This window comes from Homo sapiens, chromosome 5, assembly GCF_000001405.40.
Source record: "Homo sapiens chromosome 5, GRCh38.p14 Primary Assembly".
Classification (NCBI taxonomy): Eukaryota; Metazoa; Chordata; class Mammalia; order Primates; family Hominidae; genus Homo; species Homo sapiens.
This window is the reverse complement of record NC_000005.10, coordinates 156191613-156216737: the sequence shown is the minus strand read 5'-3', so window position 1 is coordinate 156216737 and position 25125 is coordinate 156191613. Positions and strand designations below refer to the sequence as shown.

At 35.9% G+C, this 25125-nt stretch overlaps 1 protein-coding gene across 4 annotated transcripts in view, besides 2 other annotated features; it reads right to left on the bottom strand.

Moving 5' to 3' along the window:
* Window positions 1-25125, bottom strand: part of SGCD (sarcoglycan delta) — a 1039957-nt gene that overhangs the window by 551051 nt on the left and 463781 nt on the right. The window lies entirely within an intron of this gene.
* Window positions 8152-8352: a silencer, noted in NCBI's record as "peak5548 fragment used in MPRA reporter construct". NCBI's record gives its function as "represses an SCP1 promoter by STARR-seq MPRAs in K562 erythroleukemia cells {active_cell/tissue: K562}" and the evidence as "EXISTENCE:reporter gene assay evidence [ECO:0000049][PMID:32103011]".
* Window positions 14707-14869: a silencer, noted in NCBI's record as "fragment chr5:155628879-155629041 (GRCh37/hg19 assembly coordinates)". NCBI's record gives its function as "represses an EF-1alpha promoter that drives an FKBP-Casp9 reporter gene in an ReSE screen in HepG2 liver carcinoma cells {active_cell/tissue: HepG2}" and the evidence as "EXISTENCE:reporter gene assay evidence [ECO:0000049][PMID:32094911]".

Below are 25125 nucleotides of genomic sequence, written 5' to 3'. Positions count from 1 at the left end.
CTTCCTATATTTTCTCAAAATATTTTTACCTCATCCCTATAACACATGTTTTTAAAGGCTTGAGATTAGAAGAATACAAATTACAAAACTGTGCCAAATGCATGCTTTTACTCTCTTTTTAACAAATCTCACATTGTATTTAAAAGGTGCTATGCAGGACTCAAGAGACTCATGGGTAGTGACATAAGAGAGAGCTGGTAATAAAATAAGTATTAACATGCTTTACACAGATGCTTACATAAACAAACCAATTTATTATTTCAAACTTGGAAATTCATTTTTTAAATTATTACTAAAAATTGCATGTATTTATTGTGCACAGCATGATGTTCTGAAATATGTATACACCGTGGAATGGCTAAATTGAGCAAATTAATACATGCATTACCACAAACACTTATCATTTTTGTTGCGAGAACATTTAAAATCTATTCCTAGTAATTTTGAAGAATAAATACATTGTTATTAACTGTAGTAACTTGTTGTACACTAGATCTCTTGAACTTAATCCTTCTGTCTAACTGAAATTTTTTATCAGTTTACCAACATTTCCTCGACTACTCTCTCCCCAGCCTCTTAATAACCACAATTCCACTCGCTGTTTCAATGAGTTCAACATTTTTAGATTCTAGGTGTGAGATCACATGTTATTTGTTCTGGGCCTGGCTTACTGCACTTTACATAATGTCCTCCAGGTTCATCCACATTGTTATAAATGACAGGATTTCTTTTTTAAGGCTAAATACTATTCCATTATGTATATATACCATGTTTTCTTTATCTGTTCACCCATTGATAGAACTTTGTTTGATTTCCTGTCAGGCTGTTGTGAATAATACTACAATGACCATGCAAGTGCAGCTATATCTTTGACATACTGATTTCATTTCCTTTGTATATATATCAACTAGTGTGACTGGTGGATCACATGGTAGATCTGTAGATCTATTTTTTAATTTGGAAGGGACCTCCACTCAATTTTACATAGTGGCTATACTATTTTATTCCCACCATGTGTGGGGGTTCCCTCTCTACATCCTCACTTTTTTCATAACAGCCATCTTTCATCATTTTGATAATAGCCATTCTAACTGGTGTTAGGTGATATCTCATTGTTGTTTTAATTTGCATTTCTTACATGATTAGTGAGGTTGAGCATTTTTTCATATACCTGTTAGCCTATTGTATGTCTTCTTTTAAGAAATGTCTGTTCAGGTCCTTTGTCCATTTGTAAATCAGGTTATTTGTCTTCTTGCTATTGAGTTTCTTGAGTTCCTTACATAGTTTGAATATTAATCCCTTATGAGATGTATGGTTTGCACATATTTTGTCCCAGTGCAAAGGCTGTCTTTACATTCTGATGTTCCCTTTACTGTGCATGAGCTTTTTATTTTAATGCAATCCCATTTGTGTATTTTTACCTTTTGGCCTGTGCTTTGGGCTAATACCCCAAAAAATCATTATCCAGATCAATATCATGGAGCTTCTCCCCTAGATTTTCTTCAATGGGTTGAATATCCCTTATCTGAAATGCTTGAGACAAGAAGTATTTTGGATTTGGATATCATTTTTTTCATTTGGAAATATTTGCATTAGATTTAACAGTTGAGCATCCCACATTCTAAGATCCAAAATCCAAAATATTCCAATGAGCATTTCCTTTGAGCATCAGTCACACTGGCACTGAAAAAGTTTCAGATTTTGAGGTATTTCAGATTTTGGATTTGGGATGCTCAACTTGTAGTAGTTTTACAGTTTTAGGTCTTACATTTAAGACTTTAATACATTTTGATTTTATTTTTGCATCTGATGTAAGATGAGGGTCTAATTCCATTCTTCTACATGTGGATATCCATTTATCCCAACAGAATTTATTGAAGATACTGTCTTTTCCCCATTGTGTGTTCTTGGCACCCTTGTCAAAGATCAATAACTGTAAATGCGTGGATTTATTTCTGGAGTCTCTATTCCATTCCATTGGTCTATGTGTCTGCTTTTACACTAGCACCATGCTGTTTTGATTATTACAGCTTTGAAATATAATTTGAAATCATGTAATGTGATGCTTCTGGCTTTGTTCTTTTTGTTCAAGATTGCTTTGGCTATTTAAAGTCTTTTGTGGTTCCATAAAAATTTTAGAATGGTTTCTATTTCTGTGGAATTTTAATAGAGATTATATTTAATCTGTAAAATATTTATATCACTTGTGTAATATGAACATTTTAACAATATTCTTCCAATCCATAAACACGACATATCTTTCCATTTATTTATGGCTTCTTTAATTTCTTTCATCAATATTGCATTGTTTTCAGCATACAGGTCTTTTTTATCTCCTGGGTTAAATTTTATCCTAAGTATTTCTTTTATTTTTTGGTAGCTACTTTAAATGGGATTGCTTTCTTGATTTATTTTTCAGAAGTTTGTTGTTAGTGTACAGAAATGATACTGATTTTGGTAGGTTGATTTGGTATCCTGTAAATTTACTAAATTCATTTATTAGATCTAATAGTTTTTTGTGAAGTCTTGAGGGTTTTCTGTGTATTAAGATCCTGATATCTGCAAGCAGAGATAATTTAACATTTTTCTTTCCAATTTGGATGCCTTTTATTTATTTTTCCTGTCTACTTACCCAGGCTAGGACTTCCAATCTTATTTTGAATAGACATGGTAAAAGTGGGCATCCTTGTCTTGCTCCTGATATCAGAAGAAAAGCTTTCAACTATTTATTACTGAGAATGATGTTAGCTTTCAGTTTGTCATGCACAACCTTCATTGTGTTGAGGTACATTCCTTCTATACCTAATTTACTGAGAGTTTTTAACATAAAATGATGTTCAATTATGTCAAATCTATCGAGATGATCATAGTGATTTTGTCCTTCATTCTGTTAATGTGAGGTATCACATTTATTGATTTCTGTATGTTGAAAAATGCTTAAATCCCAGATATAAATCCCAATTGATCACAATGAATGACTTTTAATGTGCTGTTGAATTCAGTTTGCTAGTATTTTGTTGAAGATGTTTGCATTAATCCTAATTAGGGATACTGTCCTGTATTTTTAAATTTTCCTTACAGTGGCATTGTCTGGTTTTAATATCACGGTAATGCTGTCTTCATAAATTAAGTTTGAAAGTAGCCCTTCTTCAGCTTTTTTGAAAGAGGTAGAGGAGAATAGATATTAGTTCTTTTTTAAATGTTTGATAGAATTCAGCAGTGAAGCTATCAGTTCCATAAGCTTTGCTTCAGTGGGAGACTTTTTATCACCAAATCAATAACATTACTCATTATTGTTCTGTTCACATTTTCTGTGTATTCATGATTTGGTCATGGTAGGTTGTATGTTTCTTGGAATTTATCCATTTCTTCCACGTTGCCCAATTTTTGGCCCATAATTTTTCACAGCAGTCACATGCTATTGTGGTCTCACTTGTAATGTCTTCTTTTTCATTTCCTATATTGAGTTTTTTTCTTAGTCTTGCTAAAGGTTTGACAGTTTTGTTTATCACTGCAAAAAACAACCCTTAGTTTTATTAATCTTTGCTATTGTTTTTCTAGTCTCGATCTCATTTGTTTTTGCTCTCATGTTTATTATTTCCTTCCTTCTACTAACTTTAAGCTTAGTTAATTCTTATTTTTCTAGTTCCTTGAGATATAAAATTAGGTTGTTTATTTGAGAACATTTTTTCTTTTTTGATGTAGACATTTATTACTATAAACTTCCCTATTAAATTGGCATTTTCTATGTCCCATAAGTTTTGGGATGATAAATGTATATTTATATTTGTGTCAAGATATTTTTAAATTTCCCTTTTAATTTACCTTTGACAGATTTGTTGCTCAGAAATATGTTGTTTAATTTCCATGTATTTGTGAATTTTATAAAATTGCTCCTGTTATTGATTTCTAGTTTCAGGCCATTGTGGACAGAAAATAATACTTGATAGAATTTCAATCTTCTTAAATGCATTAAGACTTGCTTTGTGGCCTAACGTGATCTATCCGAGAAAATGTTCCACGTATACTTGAGAAGAATGTGTATTCTGCTCTGACTGGATGGAATGTTCTGTATTTCTATTAGATCTATTCTATTTGGTCTAAAGTTTAGTTTATATCTGATGTTTCCTTGTTGACTTTTTTCTGAATGATGTGTTCATGGCTAAAATTGGGGTATTGAAGTCCTCTACTGTTGTTGTATTGCAATCTATTTCTCCCTTCAGATCTATTAATATTTGTTTCACATATTTAGATGCTCCAATGTTGGGTGCACATATATTTACAATTATTATAATCTCTTGATGAACTGATACCTTTATCACTATATAATGACCTTCTTTTTCTCTTTCTTTTAGCTTTTGACTTAAGGTCTATTTTATCTAAGTATAGCTACCCTTGCTCTCTTTTGGTTGCCATTTGCAAAGAACATGCCTTCACTCTCACTCTATATGTGTTCTTTAATGAGAAGTGAGTTTCTTGCAGATGGCATACATTTAGATCTTTTTAAAATCCATTTAATCACTCCATAACTTTTGATTGTAAGATTTAATCAATTTGCAATCAAGGTAGTCATCGATAGGTAAGGATTTACAACTGCCATTTGTTAATTATTTTCTGATTGTTTTGTAGGTCCTTTGTTCCTTTCTTCTTCTGTTGCTGGCTTCCTTTGTGATTAGGTGATTTTCTCTAGTGTTAAGCTTTGATTCCTTACTTTTTATCATTTGTGTACCTCTTGTCGTTTTTGCTTTGCGGTTCCAATGATGCTTACATAAAACATCTTAAAATTATAACAGGCTATTTTAAGCTGATAACAAATTAACTTTGACCACATACCAAGACTCTACACTTTAATTCCACACACACAACCCTACATTTTGTTTTCGGTGTCAGAATTTAGTTGTTTTTATCTTGTGTATCTTATAAAAATTATTATAGCTATTGCTTTTTAAATAATTTTGTCTTCTAATTTTTACACTAAAGATATAAGTAATTTATATACCATCATTCCTTATATTATTAGAATATTATGAATTTGATATATACTTAATTTTACTAGTGGGTTTTATACTTTCATATGTTTTAGTGCTACTAATTATCACTGTTTTCTTGCATCTTTTTTTTTTTTTTTTTGAGTCTGAGTCTCGCTCTGTCGCCCAGGCTGGAGTGCAGTGGCACGATCTCGGCTCACTGCAGGCTCCGCCTCCCAGGTTCACGCCATTCCCCTGCCTCAGCCTCCCGAGTAGCTGGGACTACAGGCGCCCGCCACCACGCCCAGCTAATTTTTTTGTATTTTTAGTAGAGACGGGGTTTCACTGTGTTAGCCAGGATGGTCTCGATCTCCTGACCACGTGATCCGCCCCCCTCGGCCTCCCAAAGTGCTGGGATTACAGGCTTGAGCCACCGCGCCTGGCCCTTGCATCTTTAAGGATTATCTTTAGCCTTTCTTCTAAGACTGGTCTGTTCATAATGAATTCTCTAAGCTTTTGTTTGTCTGGGAAAGACTTTCTCTCTCCTTCATTTCTAAAAAACAGCTTTGCCAGGTAAAGTATTCTTTGTTTTTTGTTTTTTTTTCCTTTAGCACTTTGAATATATCATCCAACGTTTCTTGTCCTGTAAGATTTCTGCTGAGAAATCTGCTATTAGACTTATTGAAACTCCATTACATATTATATGCTCCCTTTCTCTTGCTGCTTTTAGGATAATCTCTTTGTCTTTGATTATTTAACAGTTTAATTATAATATGTCTTGGTGTAGTCTGGCATGACTGAATTTTATTTGACTTTCCTGTACCTGGATATTCACTCTTTCCCCCAGATTTATAAAGTTTTCTATTATTTCTTTAAATAAGCTTTCCACCCCATTTTCTCTCTCTTTTACTTCTGGAACTCCTGTAACTTGCACATTTGCTCTTTTGATGCTCTTCTGTAAATTCCATAAGCTTTCTTCAGTCCCTTTCATTATTTTCAATGACCTTACTGTATATTTTCAAATAACTTGTCTGTAAGTTCACAGGTTCTTCTTCTGCTTGATTAATTTTGCTTCTAAATCTCTTCATTGCATTTTTTTTCATTTCATTAATTATATTTTTCAGTCCCAGGACTTCTGTTTGATTTTTAAACATAATTTCAATCTCTGTTAAATTTCTAGCTTAGGTCATTTATTCTTTTCTTGATTTCATTAAACTGTTTCTCTGTATATTCTTGATTTTCACTGAGCTTCCTTAAAATGACTATTTTGAATTCTTTGTTGGGTTGTTCATATGTCTCTATTTCTTAGGGGTCAGCTACTGAGAGATTTTATTATGTCCTTTTGGTGCTGTTATGTCTCCTTAGTTTTTCATGTTTCTTGTTGCCTTATATTAATATCTATGTACTTGTCAAAGCAGCGGCTTATTCTAGTCTTCACACACCGGCTTTATCCAGAAAAGTCCTTCACTAGTCAGCCCATCCAAACATTCTGGGCAGGACATCTGGTTTGGCCTGTAGCTGAGTTTGTTGCCGAAGTCTTTTTAAGCAGGCTGGCCTAGGTGAGCAGATGGGTGCCTATTGCCTGGGTCGGCAGATGGGTGGGTTTGCTACCTGGGTCTGTGGGGTTGGGCCTTGAGCTTAGGTCTATAGGAGTCCACCTTTTTATTGAGTCCATGGTTGCATGCCTATTGACTATACCCATGAGGGCAGGCCTGCAGCCTGTATCCACAAGGGCAAATCTGAAGCCTGGGTCCACAGGAGATGACCTGATACTGGAGGTGGCCTTGAGCCTTTGTTTGCAGAAGTTGGGCTGGCACTGGAACGAGCCTGGGATCTGAGCCCATTGTGCACTGCCCAATAGTGGCACTGAGGCCCAAATTTGTGGGGGCAGGTCTGGGTCTTGGGTGTAAGGGACCTGGTGTAGAGTGTGGGTCTTCAGAGGGGTTCTGGGGCCTCAGTTTACAGAGATTGGCCTGGCACTGGGGTCTTCAATGATGGGCTGAGACAAGGTCTGCTGAGACCTGAGGCCACAAGTGCCAGCCTTGAGGCTGGATGTGTGGGTGCTGGACTGGAACCTATGCCCACATTATTGGATTTAATCCTGAGATTGTGGGGGCCAACCTGCAACCTGGGTTTACAGGAGTGATCTTGAAACCTGGGTTTATTTTGGCTGGTCCAGTACTTGTCCTTGAGGCCACTGGAACAGTCCTTGAGCCTGTGTCAGCTGGAATGTTGTGCCACATGAATGGGCTTAGCGCTGGGCAGGCCTTGTGCCTGTGTCTGCAGATGCTTGCCTGGTGCCTGAAGCTGGGAGTGCTGACCTGGTGCTGAGGCAAGCCTGATCTGTAACCTAGAGTAATCCTGGTGCCTCAGAGGCTGGCTTGGCACTGAGTTGGCATCAAGCCTGTATCCATAATAGCTAGCCTGATGACTAGAGCTATGGAAGCCAGCTTGGTGTTGCAGCAGGCCTGAAACCTGGTGCTCTGAGGGTTGATCTAGCACTGGTCTGGAATCTGGGGCCACTGGGGCTGGCCTGGCAGTGGAGAAAACACAGAGACCAAGTCCTCTGTGCAGACTAAAAGCCAGAGGCTGTGAAATTCTGCCTGGCAGTAAATGGGTTGCAGGCTTTGCTCATGGGTGTTATCCTGGAATCTGTGGCTGTGGGGGGCCTGTCTAGTGCCTTATTTTACTGCAATAAGCCTGGTGTTAGAGTCTGAGGCAATGTCTGGTGCTCACTTCCCTCTACTCGCCCCAAGAGGAGGGTATCTCTCTCCAGCCTGTACTGCCTGATTTTGGAAGAAGAGTGATGGAGATCCTGTAAGACTTTCCCTCCTACCTTCTTTGATACATTTTTTCTTATTTTTGTGCTACATGTAGGTGCTATAATTTCCTTAGTTCTTGTGAAGGTATTTTCTTGAATGGATAGTTGTGCAAAGTGATGCTTCTGCAGAGTGACAAATGCTGGAAAGTTCTATTCCACCATGTTGATGATGACCAACTAGGAGTTTGTCTTTACGGAACTAAGAGCACCAGAGCAGAAGAATATAAGCACAAAGACAATTAATGAAGACATAATTGTAAGACCAAACACAATAAGTATCATATTCAGTAGAGAAATAGTTGAATATTTTAAGGCACATTGTGATTATTAAGTACAGAAAGTCAGAAAAGACTGTCCATCTTCCTCAAGCAGTGCAGTCAACATTTTCAATAAAACCAGATAACCCCCAATCCTTTGGTTGATTGATGATACACCTATATCACCCACATCCTCATGTAGCTCTCCAAGGTGCTGAATCATAAGTGCTTCTAATTATTCTTACAAACCAGAGTCAGAATGCTAGTTCCTGGCAGTCAACCCTAAAAGGCAGAAGATGCAGAGAACATTACCTGAGCTTCTGAGTCATCAAGCACAAATTACTTTATTTTGAGTAATTTCTCAACATATAAAACTAAAATCTAAAATAGGCCTGAAGTTTGTTTCATCTGATTTGTACTGCTTACTTGAACAGTCAAGCTCTTGAAGACAGGCAAAACTGGGCTTTAATCCACAGTGAGAAGCAGACTGACTGTCTTCAAGTTGTGTACTAAAGTTGCTCTCATGTAAAAGGCTTTCTTGGATTAATTCCACTGATTATAAATATTCCTTTACATATTAATAGTTACTATAACTTGTATTTTAGAATTTATGTTTGTAATTCTTCTCATTGATTTATATTTTATCTCTCACAGCTAAATTGTATGCTTATTGATAATGGTAAATTGTGTGTCTAACTTTTCATATCTAAAGACATGGTTTTACATAAAGGGTTCTTAACAATTATGCTTTAATGGATGAAGACTATAAGTAAACATACCAGTCAATTCTGCTTTTCACCTCAATTTTAAATTTTTCTATTCAGGAAAAAGAAGCCTATCAAGATGATCAATTACATTATATATACATATATATAAAATTTTTGTTGCACAGTTACAAATGTAGATAAAGAACACTTGTTTTCTTTCTGCCTCTGGCTCCTACCTGTAATTTTAGGTAAGTGGTAGCTTCTTTATCTTACCATTTTCAAATTTCTATGGTATATAACAATCAATAGACTCTTTACAATTTATATTAAAATATTAGGCTGGTGCAAAAGTAATTGCGGTTTTTGCCATTAATGGTAAATACTGCAGTTACTTTTGCACCAAACTACTAATTTTAAGAAAGATTTTTAAAACTCTAGATCAAGCTAATTTCTATGTAGACCTTCATATTCCCTATGGAAGTGCTGTGGGTTAAATGTAGACAGCAAAGATTGATAGTATAATTAAAATCATGAGCACATTTTCGAACTATTAAAGACATTAGAGATCAACTAGCCTAAGCTGCTCACATTTTAGAGGTTTGAAAAATTGAGGTCCAGAAATATTAAATGACTTTTTAGGTTATAAAGTACAGTGCTGGGCCCCCAAAAACATGAACTCTCCATGCCATTTTACTGAATTTTTTCCTATTACAACTTGTATGTATTTTAAAAATTATATTGACCGAGTCACAAGTATCTTGAAGACATCAAAGTGTACATGCAGTGACCTCTGTTGAAGAGTAGAAGTCATACCCTCCCACACAGCTGATTTTTGCCTTTCTCAAAATAGTGAGATCTAAAATCTCCAAAGGGCCACTACAGGCAGGTGTTTCTCTGATCTAAATCATCCTTTCTAAAAACATTTCAAGTAAAACACGGTTGGCAAGCTCAAAGGGATATATTCACCAATAAAAGAACATTTTATTAATATCTTTTTGATATAATAAACATTTCAGCTTAGGTCTTATCATTCAATCACCTGATATTGGAGCCTGTAAACATGTGGCCAAGTGTGCAGGGGAAAAAAAAATAACTATCAGTCTTTTCAAGAGCCTAGGGAGTCACCTTTGAATAAGGCAGTGCATTTTCATGTAAAAAAATTACTTGTTTCTTTTGGATATATTCTATATGCTCTATGCCATACAAATCCTCAAAAAAATGAGACAAAGAAGCAGCCCTTCCTTGAATGAAAAAAAAAATTATTCACTGCCAAACTTATAGTATACAAGATCTAACTTTTACATCTTTCTGGTTAAATGCCTTGGTGTCCCATACTTGCCTTGGTAAAACTTTAATTTTTAAGATGTTACATAAAGCCATTTAACCACACTGGTCTTGTATTAATTAATAATAAAGTTTACATTTCTTATTGATCAGACTGGCCACATTTAAGAGCTTCACAACAAAAACAAATTATGCTTTTGAGGCCATAGGGAAACAGGTAACCTCATACACTATTAGTGGAATTGCATAGGGCTTCAATCCCTAGGAAGAATTTTGCAATACCTAAGAATACTCTATATATATTCATCCTATGACCCAAAAATCTAGTGTTTTATCCAAAAAAATATGTCCACAATAATTAAGCAACATGTGCACTTATTCATGGTAGTATTAATTGTGACCAAAAAATATTGGGAAAACCCCGAATGCCAAGCCACAGAAGACTGGTTGAACACACCACTGTACGTACACACAATGAAGTATTCTGAAGTACAAAACAATTTTCACACATTTTTATGAAAAACTTGGAGTCATTTTCAAGATATACCATTGGGTAAAAACACCAAGGTATAAAATAATATATATCATGCATGATCTTTGAGTACAAAGTATGGCTAAATATGAGTAAGTCTACATATATATGGACATAGATGCACATATTCATTTGTATATGTGCACAGATATATATAATATATAATATATATATATAAAATATATATATATACACACACATATATGTGCAACATAGAAAAATAGACATGGCAGGACAGGTCATCTCCCTTGAACAAATGACCAAACAGAGGTCTAGGGATGCTTAAGCAGTTGTCCATGTTCATTTACCTCATCTGTAATGGAGCTAGGACGACGAGAATCCCATTGACTCCTAGATAACTGTATTTCCCCAAGTACAATTTATCCTCATCCACATACAAAGAGATTAGGACTATTGATGTTAACAAGGTACTGACATAAAAGTGTTAGGAATTTGCTGTATTTCATTTAGGTAGAAGTAACTATCCTGTACCTTTATGGAAAAGTATATATATCCAAGTTGCACTTTCAGAAGATATAGTCTACAGATATCAAGGACATTCTGTACATTGGCTGGAAAACTCACAGACACTAAAAAATAGGATAAAATGTATAGCCATTTACCCTTTCAATAGATTTCTGATATTACAACAGATTATTGTCTTATACGATGACAGCCTGTATGATTGTCTTTCAAAATCTGCAACAATCTAGCTTAATTCAACCTTTCTAAGCTTCTCTTCTACTATTCTTCAGCATAAACATTGCCTTTTATTAGTCTTATCTACTCATTGTGTCTCGTAATTCTTCATTTATTTGCCATTGTTTGTGCTACTATTTTATGTCAACTGTAACCTGTATTAGTTTGTTTCTGCAGCTTCCAACAAAAGAATCTTAACTCTTACCAGCCTACCCATAAAAGCAATTTAATGCAGGATCATGGAGTATCCCTGAAAACTCAAGGCTTTCAGAAAGAAAGTGACCAGATAAGCAGAGGAAGTCTGGGTGTCTGGAAGTTCTGAAGTCTGTTTTGGGAATGCACCATGAGCTTTTGATTTACCTCCCACTCTGATGGAGGAAGGGCAGTTTACCACAGTAAAAATCTATATGCTATTATAGAAAAACAGCAAAACAGCAATTGATATTGTTCAGGTGAAAATAATATATGTCCATCTCATTGCTAATATCTCAAGATTCAACATCTCTGTGCCTTCTGTGACAATTTCTCTGGTCTTTTGAGATCACGGTTGTAGCAATACCTGTATTCCTACATTACTCATTGTCAGATAACACAGTGGAGAAAAGTTTACACTCGAATTATAAGCCTCTGCCACTTATTTTTAAGTAGCTACTTACGACTTACATCTTGCTATTTCATTGTGATCTTGCCTCTCCAATTGTGAAGATAAAGAAAAACACAAACCAGTTTGTTTAATACCAGTTACATAATGTGCCCCATATGAGCAGCTATATAACTATATTTATTCCTCACAACAATTTCATGAGATACTGTTATCACCCCTTTCTCTCAGATGAAGAAAGTGAGGCTGAGAAGGGTGACATAACTTGCCAAGATCCCATACGCTGACACGTATATGCCTACATCATTCATTTGGCATGTAATCATGTAGTATCAATCAAAAAATCACTCTAGTTCACATGATATTGTGTGTGTGTGTGTGTGTGTGTGTGTGTGTATGAGTGTGTTGGCTAAACTAGTTAAACTGTGACATCTTTCACTAGGATACCTTATATATATATTTGTATCACCCACCATACTTAGCATATAACAATATACACACCGCAAGCCCTCAAGAAATGATGTGAATTAATTATATCTGATTCACATGAGCTACAAAGTCACCACCATAACCATCATTTTGGAGTATTATTCTTACTACATAACAAAAAGCTCTGTGCTGGCCACCCCATAAGGGAGAAAATTTCCTCACTCTTAAGCTTGTTTTTCTTCTGGAGCTGCAGGTCCAGTAACACTTGTTGAGGAGTAAGTCAGGAAAAGAAACAAAACACTAAATGGGATGACACCTTCCACAACCACACTCTTGGCTTTTATGGGTATCTCTAATAACCATCAATGTAGTTATGAATTTAAACAATATTTCTAGTCTTAAGCAATATGGAAGCCACTGGAATATAAGTTTGATGAGAACTTGGACTTAAACACTAAATAATATTTAGCACATGATACATATGCAATAAATATTCACTGGATTAAGATCTCAATATATTTTCCAACTTGGAAAAATTTCTATTCCCAGTCATACAAACTCAATCATTGGTTTTAAAAAATTACCTCCTCATGTTTATGCTATGTCATAGTACTGGATGGAGCACTGCCTAGATCCTGAATATCTGGGTCCTGTTTTCTCCACTGCCGCTAATTAACTGTAATATTGGACAAGTTATTTCAGCAGTTGGCCTTTTCAGAGTCTTAATGGATGAAAAGAAAGCTCATTTCCAGCTAGAAGTCTCCAGGAACTGTCTATAAATTATTTTGAGGGACTTTACAAATCAGACACGAATACAGATGATGATCCATCTTTATTTCCATAGTATAAAGCACAGTGTCAGGAACATAGTAATACAGTTCAGTAAATGTGGGATGAAAGAATAAATGAATAAGTGGTCGGGACATACAATCATTAAATACCTTTATAATTCTAAGAATATGTAATGATATAGCCATGCAAGCAATCAAGTACATGTCTCAAAACCTATCCTTTGATGCCACTATTCATCAATCTCAAATATCGAACTACATAGGAACAATGCCTTTGTAGTTTGTTATTTGCGCAGTCAATAGAAAATACTGTTATGTTGTGGTCTTCATTCTTATGGTGATCTTGAAGAATTTAAATTGTAAGTCCCTACAATCTAGGTTTAATATCCAAATAGTTAAAGATTTGCAAAAAGAGGATACAGATATAACATAATTGAACAAATGATACAGAAAATGCCACAGCAAATAGAGGCACTAATGAAAAGTACATGTGGATTTGCATTCCAAATTATAGAGTATAGTTTCCCCACATGGCTTCTATAAAACACTAATTCTGGGATATTCTTAATTTAAAAAGTTTTATGATTAAAATCTTTGGGATATGATGCATCCTTTCAAATCTGACAGAGTCTCAAGGCATGTAAGTATATCAAAGCTTTAATAATTCTTACTTTGTTAAAACCTGTATTTCTCAAACTTGCTTGCCTATGAAAATTCAATTTTTGTAGAAAATTAAAACCTTTACAATCAGCCTTACCTAGAATTCACTTTGGGAAACACTGTTATGTCACAAGAGGCATACAGAAACAGGGTACCTCCCTGTCCATGCCCAACTGCATTAACTCCAATCAGGTTTAAACTGCAGTCTTTTTAATTGAAAAAAAAAAAAAAAAAAAGGAACCTCTGCTACTCCACTGCGTTTTCATGAACACACTGAGTACTCTCCATTGTGCCTTGATTCTGACACCCCTGTGAGACCCTACATGAAGCAGTCAGTTGATCTACATCTTCAAAACCTGGGAGCTGTCACCTTATTTGGAACCAATAACTTTTCTCTAAATGAAATGCTTTAGAAGAGACTTTGACTGTCTCTTCCAGTATGAATGCTTCTCTATGGCCTTAGTTTCTTTGATCATTGAGGGTCAAGAAATCTCAGTGCTAAAAACAAACTATAACAACTGCAAGGCTTATCATTAGCCTAACACCTCTTTCAATAATCTCACAGGCCGTAGTGAAGCTCAGACCCATTTAATCAGAGGCCATATAAGCAACATCAGAATCATGGCCAAATTTAAAATTGTAAAACAGTCTGGCTTCTATTCATTCACTGAGTAAGTATTTATGTAAAGCCTACTATTACATACTGTGAATTACACTGAGAACATTGCTAAATTCTGATGAGTCAAAGAATAATAATCCAGTTTAAGGAAACCATCCAGGAGGAGTTAAGTGGTGAGTGGGGCCACAATCAATGGAGAGATCACTTTAACGGCAAAGGCCAAGAAAGAACCCCCTGTGGGTTATCTTCCCTCCAACAAAGAGGCAACCAGAGTATTAGAAATGTTTTCAATGAGAGTTCTGGGAATGACTTAATCTAAACCTGAATACTCATTCGCAATTCAACAACAACAACAACGTGAAACTCTTTTGCTGAGCAGACCAGAAAGCTGTTTTGGAAGTCAGGACCACTCAGGGAGCTGCTCAGATGGCTGCTCTCCTGTGGCCTCATTAGCTGACTCACAAGGTACACACTGGAGCTGTGCCCTAGATTCCCACACACCAACTCTGACATTTATAAAGCACTTTCAGTCCTGACAAGATCAAAAACTCAGCATTCTTTCAAATGTCATAATAACTCCAAAATATCCCTGGCTCGAGCTGAGAAAACTGAAAGTGATAAAGCACTTATTAGATTAAAAAAAAAAAAACTAGGGAATTATGGGCTTGTCCTCTTCCCTCCTGCAGCATGAGGCATTCATTCGATTTTAATTTGATTTTAGTAACACATTTTCCCCTTAGGAAACACTCATTGCTTTACCTCCTAGACTGGACTCATTTGCAATGTCCATGGTCCTATGATGTTGGCAAATTTGCCATAAACTGGTTTCTCTGTTAAACCGTGGGCCTCCAACCAAAACCTCCTATGGTTACACTTTAATGTCAACGTAAGACATCTTGACATTGTGTTATGATGGCAGCTTTGCTCATTGCTACAGTGGGAGTGAAGAAAGATGTCAGCATGTTTACTGAAAGCATGTTCTGGGCTACAGCTTGCACAAAGATGATACTTTCTGTTCCTCAGTTTTTCAAAATATCAAACATACTGTTTTAAAAATAACAGTGATATATGTCATTGTGTACTTGAGTGTCATGCTCCATTATACCATTTTATTTACTTTTTTATTGTGTTAAAAACCTACATAGCATTAAATTTACTGTTTTATGTACACAGTTCAGTAGCGTTAAATGTATTCACATTGTTGTGCAACAGATCTTTGGAACTTTTTATTTTGCAAAGTTGAAACTCTACGCCCATCAATCAATAATTCCTTCTCCCTGCCTCAGCCCTCAGCAATCATCTTTCTACTTTCTATGATTCTGACTATTTTAGATATTTCATGTCTAAATGGAATCATGCAGTACTTTTTTGTCCTTTTGTGATTGGCTTATTTTGCTTAGCATAATGTCCTCGACGTTCATCCATATTACAACACATGTAAGAGGATGTCCTTCCTGTTTTAAAGCTGCATAATATTCCACTGTATGTCTCTACTGCATTTTGCTTATCTATTCATCTGTCGATGGACATCTGGGTTGCTTTCACGTATCAGCTATTGTGAATAAAACTACAAAGAACATAGGTGTGTGAATATGTCTTTGAGATTCTGCTTTGAATTCTTTGCGATATATACTCAGAAGTGGGATTGCTGAATCATAACATGGTAATTAAATATTTGGCTTTTTGAGGAGCCTCCATACTAGTTTGCATAATGGGTTCCAATTTCTCTTGTTGCCTGTGCTTTGGGTTTCATATTTAAGAAATCATTGCCAATTCCAATGTCCTGAACATTTTCTGCCATGTTTTCTTCTGAGAGGTTTATAGTTTTACATTTTTAATGTAGGTCTTCAATTGATTTTGAGTTAATTTTTAAATGCTATAAGGTAATGGTGACTTCATTCTTTTCCATGTGTATATCCAGTTTTCCCAGCATCATCTATCGAAGAGACTGTGCTTTCCCCTTCGTGTAGTCTTGGCACACTTGTCAAAAATTATTTGCCCATATATGCAAAGGTTCATATCCAGTCTCTCTATTCTGTTCCATTTGTCTATGTATCTGTCTTTATGCCAGTACCACAACATCTTGATTACTGCTGTTTTGCAGTATGTATTGAAGCAAGGAAGAGAAGGTCCTCTACCTCTGTTCTTTTTCTAGATTGTTTTGGCTATTCAGGGTCCCTTGAGATTTCATATATATTTTATGATGTTTTCTCTCTTTCTGCAAAAAATTCCACTGGAATTGTGATAGAGATTGGACTGAGTCCACGGATCACTTTGTGTAGTATGAGCATTTTAACAATATTAAGTCTTCCAAGCTATAAGTATGAGAAATATATTTATTTGTGTCTTTGATTTCTTCTACATCACACTATGTTAACAGGGCCTTTAGTAGATTCCTAGAACATTAAAAGTAAAAGAAAATTTGTAGGTGATATACTCCTAACCTGAGGCCCAGTGACCTAAAGTCCATGAGGCCCTAAGAGTGGACACAACTTTTTAAATATACAGCTTCTCTGGGTGGGTGGCAAGATCTACAGAATTTATTAGTTGATGAGTCATTTATTTATTCAGCAATAAAGCACCAAATACATGTCTGACACTGGAAATGCTGCAGCAAAATTGAGAGAAAAGCCTGCCTCCGTGAAGTTTATAGATTTTTGGTGAGTGAATGATCTATAAACACTCAAAATTATTGCTAATCTAATGCCATTATTTTAAAAAGGAAGGAATCAAGGCAAGAAGAAGTAGTTTGCCAAAGCAGAGAAAGCCAAAAGATGGAAGTCTGACTTGGAGTAGGGAGTCTCCAAACGCCTATCTCAGTGTCCCTTTTTCCTTCTTCTGTACTGCTTCTACTACCATTACTAACAATGGAGTTTGAGGTTGGTGAGACAGCAACCTGCCTTTTAAGTCCCATTTCCTGAGAGGCAAGTATGTGTAGGGCACTATGTAAAGGGCCTTGCATGCCTGATTGAATTTATTATTTCCCAATTCTGTGAAGAAGACATTATTTTTGTTCTTTAGTTGAAAATTGTCAGATGCCTGATTTGGGGCCAATAGCCAAAGCAAATAAGTCAATGACCTCTTTGGGCATCAACTTGCTGCTGTTATGTAGAAGTGATTAGACTAGCTGAGGAAAAGCAAGATAGCTTTATTTGAACTCTTGATTCACTGAAATGGCTCTAAAGCTAAGTGTTGAGAAATCTTTAAAGACCATGTACAGACTCTACAGGCAGAAGGTTCAGATTCATGATGTTTTCTTCACTGAGGTGCGAAGGTATGTGTGTAGGTGTGTGTATCTACATGTGTTTAGGGCTAGAGTTTTGCATATATGACCTTATTTCTTCATGTCGAATAGATAATTATTCAAATACCATTGAGCTGGGTGTGTTGGCATGCACCTATATCCCAGCTACTTGGGAGGCTAAGGTGAGTGGATCACTTTAGCCCATGAGTTTGAATCCAACCAAGGCAACATAGCAAGATTCCATTTCTAAAATCAAATAATAATAATAATAAAATAAAAACCACCATTGGCTGGAAAGTCCTGACTCTAAACACATCTATTATACTAAATGTGTCTCAAGTCCCTGAAATTTGAAGCACAGGAGACAACTCTGCCACACTTCAAATAAAGAAGGATGTTGTGAGAGATTTCCTGGCACTGTCCATATCAATCCAAGTAAGAAATTCTGTAGCATTCAATTTAATAACCAACTAAGGGAAAAACTATTCTTTCACATGGAGGACCATGGTCCACACAGAGCCATTTTTAAGAGTGCTAGAGTAAAGGGCAAAGAGTGAGGATGTTGAAGTCAGGCTAAATACAAATCCCAGTCCAACTACTCGCTCACTAAGTTACCAACCACTCTATGCCTCAGATTCCTTCTCTACACAGCAGGGACTATAACAGTGCCTATTTCATAAGACTATTGGGATAATTAAGTGAATTAATAAAGGCAGAGTACCTAGCATGGTGTCTCTCAATCCAAGTGCTCGGTAAATTATTATTACTAAATGAAAGGAAAACACATTATTTTTATTTCCTATGTGAACATAACAATCATCGATACAGCATATTTGCAAGGCCAAGTTTTTACTTGGACTTGCTCCAAGAACTCCTAGACTTCTTATCTAGGTCTGCACCTGCCCTTACTGGAAAAGATCTTTTTTTAATGTCTCCTTTGTTTCTTCTAGACATACATAGTGTCCTAAGAAAGATAGAAAGAATAAACACAGTTCAGAGGCAGAAAAGAACAGATAGATGGCTCAACATTAGAAATATCTAACTGAATTTTAAAGTTCGCACTATATTTACAAAGGGAATAAGATGAAGAGGAGCAGAGAGGAACTTAGAAATGTTAGGAGGCTAAGAAGTGAGAGCCAACATATTTGGGGTTAGAAAACAGGATAACCCCGGCTTCCTCCCTCCTCTATGCTAATTACGTAAGTAGGTGAGGGGATACGTATGTTAATAAGCATAGTTTAATCATTCCATATGTACATAAATATCAAAACATCACATTGTACCCCATAAATATATACCATTATTTGTCAATTAAAACATATTTTTAATTGACAATAGGAAAAGGTAATAAATAGGACAAAATAATGAATCAAAGAGAAAGAATTTGGGAGAGATAAAAATCAGCATGCCCAAGTAAATAGGCAAAAAAATCACATGTAATTAAGATTTGTAAGCAAGAGAACAAATATAAGCCACAATTTCTGATGACTCTTGGCTTATTAATTGAACAATATGGTGCTTCATCCTCTTGCTTGGCTGTTAATTATTTTCTACTCTCCCTTTGTTATTAATCACTTTTACTTCTCTGGCTCTCTTTCAACCCTAATACTGTGAGCTATAAAGGCCAAGCTGTTTAGCCAAAAAAAAAAAAAAAGGAAAACTATTCAATTCTAAAGAGTTAATGGAGATTTAATATGTGGGAAGGAGGAGTAATTCAACATATGCTTTTTAAAAAATTAACCAAGAGAGTCCTATGAATTAGGTGAGAAATATTTTAAATTATTTATATGTGTTTCAAACTAATCCGTGAGGGCTGGGAAATGCATGTCCTCATTCACTGCAAGTGGCAGTGTCAACGGAACATTATTCATGCAGGGCAATATAGCAGTGTACATCAAAAGGCTAAAAAAAGGGTTCTATACTCTTTGACCCCTCCATGGCACTTTTATGGCAAATTTTCTAAGGGAATCATTAAGAATATATGCGAAGATTTATTTACAGTAAAGTTTCAAATGCTTTATTTTTATATTGGACAATTAAAAACAACATAAATATCTGACAATAGGAGATTGTTTAAATAAGCAATGGCCATTAAGAAGCATTTACTGGGAGAGTGATTAACAGTATAAAGATGTTCATAATATTAATAAACTAAGTGCAAAGGCAGATTATGGAGAACTGCATAGTCCATATGTCATTTTAATTTTTAAAATTGTGGAAAGCTCCTTCTTTGATAAATGTAAAGTGTATGGATGCGTTAAGTACAAGAAACAATTCTGGCCATAGTTTAGTGTGCTAAGGCAGGTTTTATTTCCAAAGAACTAAAATATGTGTTGGATTCCTAATTATATATAATATTTTAAGACACAATCTTTAATAATATATTTCTAGAATTTAGTATACATTATTTATGTTTGCTCTTTTCTCTCATTATATAACACAAGTGCTGGGTGGCTTAAGGCCAAATATCCACTAGTGTTGAAAGACAAAGACACATCTCCAACTTTATTGATCTCCAAACTTCCTTTCCAAATTATATTAAAGTCATGACCAATATGGTCAATCATTAGTAGCAAAACTTTTGTCTTTTTTTTCCTTCATTTTTATAAAAGGCAGACCAAATATCTTTAACATTAAACACCTGCACAAATTCTGATGTGCAAAGATTGTGATACTGACTAGGTTAATCAGTTGGCTGGCAAACAGCATGATAATACTATGGTCTGAAATGTCTATTCTCCAGCTGATATGTAAGGCTGCATTTGGTATGTTAAAGGTAGTTTGGGGTCTTATGGGTAATGTTCAAGTACAAGATGAAAATTGAATAACAAAGTCAAGAATCCTCCCTTTATATGGGCATACTAGCCAGGGTCCTTCAATTATTTTAACAGATGGAATTTAATATAGAGAAGTGGATCAAGAGCTATATAACTGCACAGGCCAAGGGGAACATTGAGACATCACAGAGGTAGTGACCCAATATAGTGGCTACAGCTCCTAGGTCTGGGAAAATAAAGGGATGAAGTTGGAATTATCAGAACTAAGAATCTCCAAGGAAGCCCCAAGGGATCTGGGATCTAGACTTTAGAAAAGGGGCCCTCCTTGGATGATGCTGGTGCCTTCAGAGGTTGGGTGAGGTCCTGCCAAGCTGAAACCTGCAGCTCTCAGGAGCGGGTGGCATGAGTTTCATTCTGGGAGTATGGGAATAAGATGGAAAGTGACACCAATAGATACGGGAATCAACTGCTGCCTCTGGTGGTAGGGCCCTTGATGAGCTACAGTTGATAGGCTAATAAGCAAAGACAAAATAGTAATTCCCTTTGCTAGCCTGCCATCTTTCAGTTTTGCTCTTGCTTGCCCAGTAGGCAGGACCTATCAGGGAACCACAAACAGACTAGGAGATGGTTTGCCCAATCCCAGCCACAGCATCATAAAGCAAGGTACGGAAGAGCAGGTTTAGGTTTGGAGTGACAACAGCCTAACAAAAACCCTGTATGTATCCATACGCATAGAAAAAAATCAAAAAGCATGTACATTAACATGTTAATAGTGGATATTACTGGATAGTGAGGGATGATTTGAATGATTTAATTCTCCTGGCACTTTCCTGCATTTTCCAATTCTCCATTCACAAAAAATAACTCATCACAATTTTCTAACATTATACAAAAAAGTTGACTTCTGAGTAAGAGAATGTTAAATGATATCATCTAACATTTAGATGTGAAAACCTGTGGTATATTTGAAGGAATTTTTAGAATAAAAATTTCTCATTTACACTAATTTCTCTAATGGCATCAAGAATAAAATGCAAACCCACGTTTACCCAGCTAAACAATGATTAATGCGAAGCATATGGAAGCACACTGTAAGACTAATAAATAGTCTTCTCTCTTTGAACACAGTAATGGTTTTGTGAAATAGGCTAGCACAGGGTTTAAATGAGGTTACTGGATCAAACCAGATATTAATCAACTAGTTAATAATTTTGACAACACCATTTACAATGGAAACAGAGTAAAATCATTGTTAGAGAAATAAATACATCCTAAAGAACATAAAGATTTGACAATAATGGATATTTTCTTAGTCTGTTTCTGTGATTTATTTCTGTGTTCCCCATAACTTGATGACTATATTCATCACCATAATCATCATCATCATCACCAATGCCACAGCTATTATTGACTGAGCCTTATTATACTATGTGTTCAATATGTATTATATACATACCTGGCTTTATTGTTCACCATAATCCTATAGTTCTTATGTTATAATTCCTATTTTTGCTATTAGGAAACTGAGCCATAAAAGGTTCAACTATTTTCCCCAAGATCATACAAACAGTAAAAGCAGAACCAGAACTCTACAGGAACTTCAATTCTTCAGGGTTTTATATTATTATATTACAGTACTATATCATATTATCCATCAATTTAAGGTATTATATTACTTGTCAATTATATTATAATATTAATTACCTTAAGGTATTATATTAATCAATTCAAATTCTAATTATTGGTTTTGTTATTCTGTTACTTAATCTGTAGCTTATCTATGCAAAATACCTTAAATTCCTAAAATAGAATATAACACAATTGACTGTTTTTCTCTCCACCTAATGTATATCATTTAAATTATAACATGCCTGGTAATTTCTCAACAATAATAAAAGTAGCAGAGTTTCACATATTAAATATACCTTTTTACACAGTATTTTTTCCTTTCTTTTTTCTTTTTCTTTTTTGGAGACAGGGTCTTGCTCTGTCGCTCAGGCTGATGAGCAATGGAGCAATCTCTGCTCAGTGCAACCTCTACCTCCCAGGCCCAAGAGATCCTCCCACCTCAGCCTCTCACTTACCTGGGGCTACAAGTGTATACCACCATGCCCAGCTAATTTTTGTATTTTTTGTGGTAGAGATGGGGTTTTGCCATGTTGCCCAGGCTGGCCCTGAACTTATGGGCTCAAGTGATCTTCCCACCTCATCATCCCAAAGTGCTGGGATTACAGGCATGAGCCACAGCACCCAACCTTTTTACACAGTATTAAATGCCCAAATAATTTACTTCTAATGACAGAGTTTATTTAAAAATTTAAATTTTAAAATGCTCAGAGGAAGGTCTGTCTTTATTATGTATGACATCACCTGCAATTGAAAGTATCTCTGGTCTTTTAACTTTTTGATAGAAGTGGTTTCTTGAGGCTGCAGGCCAGGACTTGGATGTCAACAACATGAGTGTTGCCATTCATGCAGCCATCAGAATCAACCTCTGAACTCATTTCCATGGAACCTGTTTGCGAACTTGAAAATCTACGCACATGCATAAGGCTCCAGAAAAGCATTCTTGATGAATCAGAATAGGTACAGAGGAAGAAATTTTTTAGTTGTTCAAATCAAAGACTGAAGTTCCATCTCTCTGAGTGGGTGGCTAGATCTCCACTGACAGGAGCAGACATTCTGGTATTGGCCTTTCGGTCAAAGGAGAATCCTGTAACAAGACGTGGAAGCTAGGCCTCACACTGTTCATCCAGGGCACACCATGCTCTCTCACCTAGCTGTCCTCTAATGAGTCTGGCCCGTAAGGAGGGTAGACATGTTAGGACATATCAGCTGTGCAGAAGGAATGTGCTTTCTGCCACACAGAGGCCAGGAGAAATGCAAGCATCTTTTGGAGGTTACTAAACTGAAGATACATAAACTAGCTTGTGAGCTACATTATCCATTATCTCAAAATAAGAAAGAAACTTGCACAAAAGAATGAAGTCTAGTTTAATTGTTCAAATATAGACTTGGCTACACCACAGGGCAAGCAGGGAAAAAGCACGCGTTCCTGTATGGCTGGAAATCAAGAGGAGAGTAAGCAGGGTCGGAACAACAGTGACTTGAGAAAGTCTTAGATAAAGAATCTGGAAGCACAGGAGTCCAGCTGCTCTTCTTCAGAACCATGTTTGAAGAATTAGCCTTTGACTACATGAAGAAAACCAGTTGATTGTGTTGATTAGCTTGTGTTAGACAGTGATCAGCAAACTACTGCCTGACAGCTAAAAATGATCTTCACAATTTTAAGTGGTTAAAAACAATTAAAATAATATTTCGTGACATGTAGAAGTTAGATGAAATTAAAATTTCGGTGTCCATGAATCACATTTTATTGGAACACAGCCAGACTCATTAGTTTACATATGGTCTACTGTTGCTTTTACAATGACAGAGTAGTTGCTACACAGACCACATGGCCACAAAGTCTAAAATATATACACCTGGCTTCTTACAGAAGTTCATCCACTCCTGTGTTAACAGAACCAGCAGAATGCCTTTGTAGGTGTGTGCCTATTATTTTTTCTTTAGATTTTTTTTATTGACACATAATATTTGTACATATTTATGGGGTACATGTGATATTTTGTTACATGCATAGAATGTGTAATAATCAAGTCAGGGTACCTAGGGCAACCATCACCATCACCCTGAGAATTTATCATTTCTTTGTATTGTAGAACAAATAAAGTTCTCTCTTCTAGCTATTTTGAAATACATAATACGCTGTTAACTAGTCACCCTACTCTACTGTCAAACGTTAGAACTTATTCCTTCAATCTGTGTTTGCATCCATTAACTTACCTCTCTTCATTCCCCTCCTGTACCCCCATACACTTCCCAGCCTTTGGTATCTATCATTCTACTCTCTATCACCATGAGATCAACTTTTTTAGCTCTCACATATGAGTGAGAACACATGATATTTGTCTTTCTGTACCTGGCATATTTCACTTAACATAATAATTACCAGTTCTACTGAACAAAGAAAATGTTTTGTATATATATACTGGAATACTATTTTGTGTGTGTCCATTATTGGAATTTTCTGATTAATTAAGCACGCTAAAATGTCACTGATAAATCACTTCCAGGACATCTACTAAGTATCTAAATGCATCACTATCATAAGATTATAAGATGACTCCTTTTGGAAGAAACAGCCCCAAATATAGACCGTCACGATGTCTCCTAATTTTCCCTTTCTTACAGACCAGTAATCTCTGGGAAAAGAGGAAAAATGGAGATGACTATTGTCTTTTTCTCCTTGGATCATTCCAAAGTTTCTTCTCATTCGATAATTTATATAACCTGACAACTTCCTCAATCATCATGATTCATTTTGGAATGCATTAAAGCATAAGGTTTTGTTTTTGTTTTTGTTTTTGCTTTTCAACAGTTTTCTGAAGAAGAGAGACAGATGAAACCTAACTAGGGAATCCCAAACCTCTCTAGTGGCTGCTGATTACCTGCCAAGCACTCCTGCAGCTGAACTGTGAAAATGATTGGCTGGTTCCCACTGAGCCCCAAGACCCATTGGTTGCATCCCACTGAGCTGTGATCCAGATTGACAGCTTGAATGTCTCTCTCTTTGAGCTTTATCTGTGACTTCTTGCCTTTAGCAGTGCACCTGTATAGCCACTAAGCTCAGAAACAAAAGAGACACGACCCACATCTCAAAGTTTTGTTTCCCTT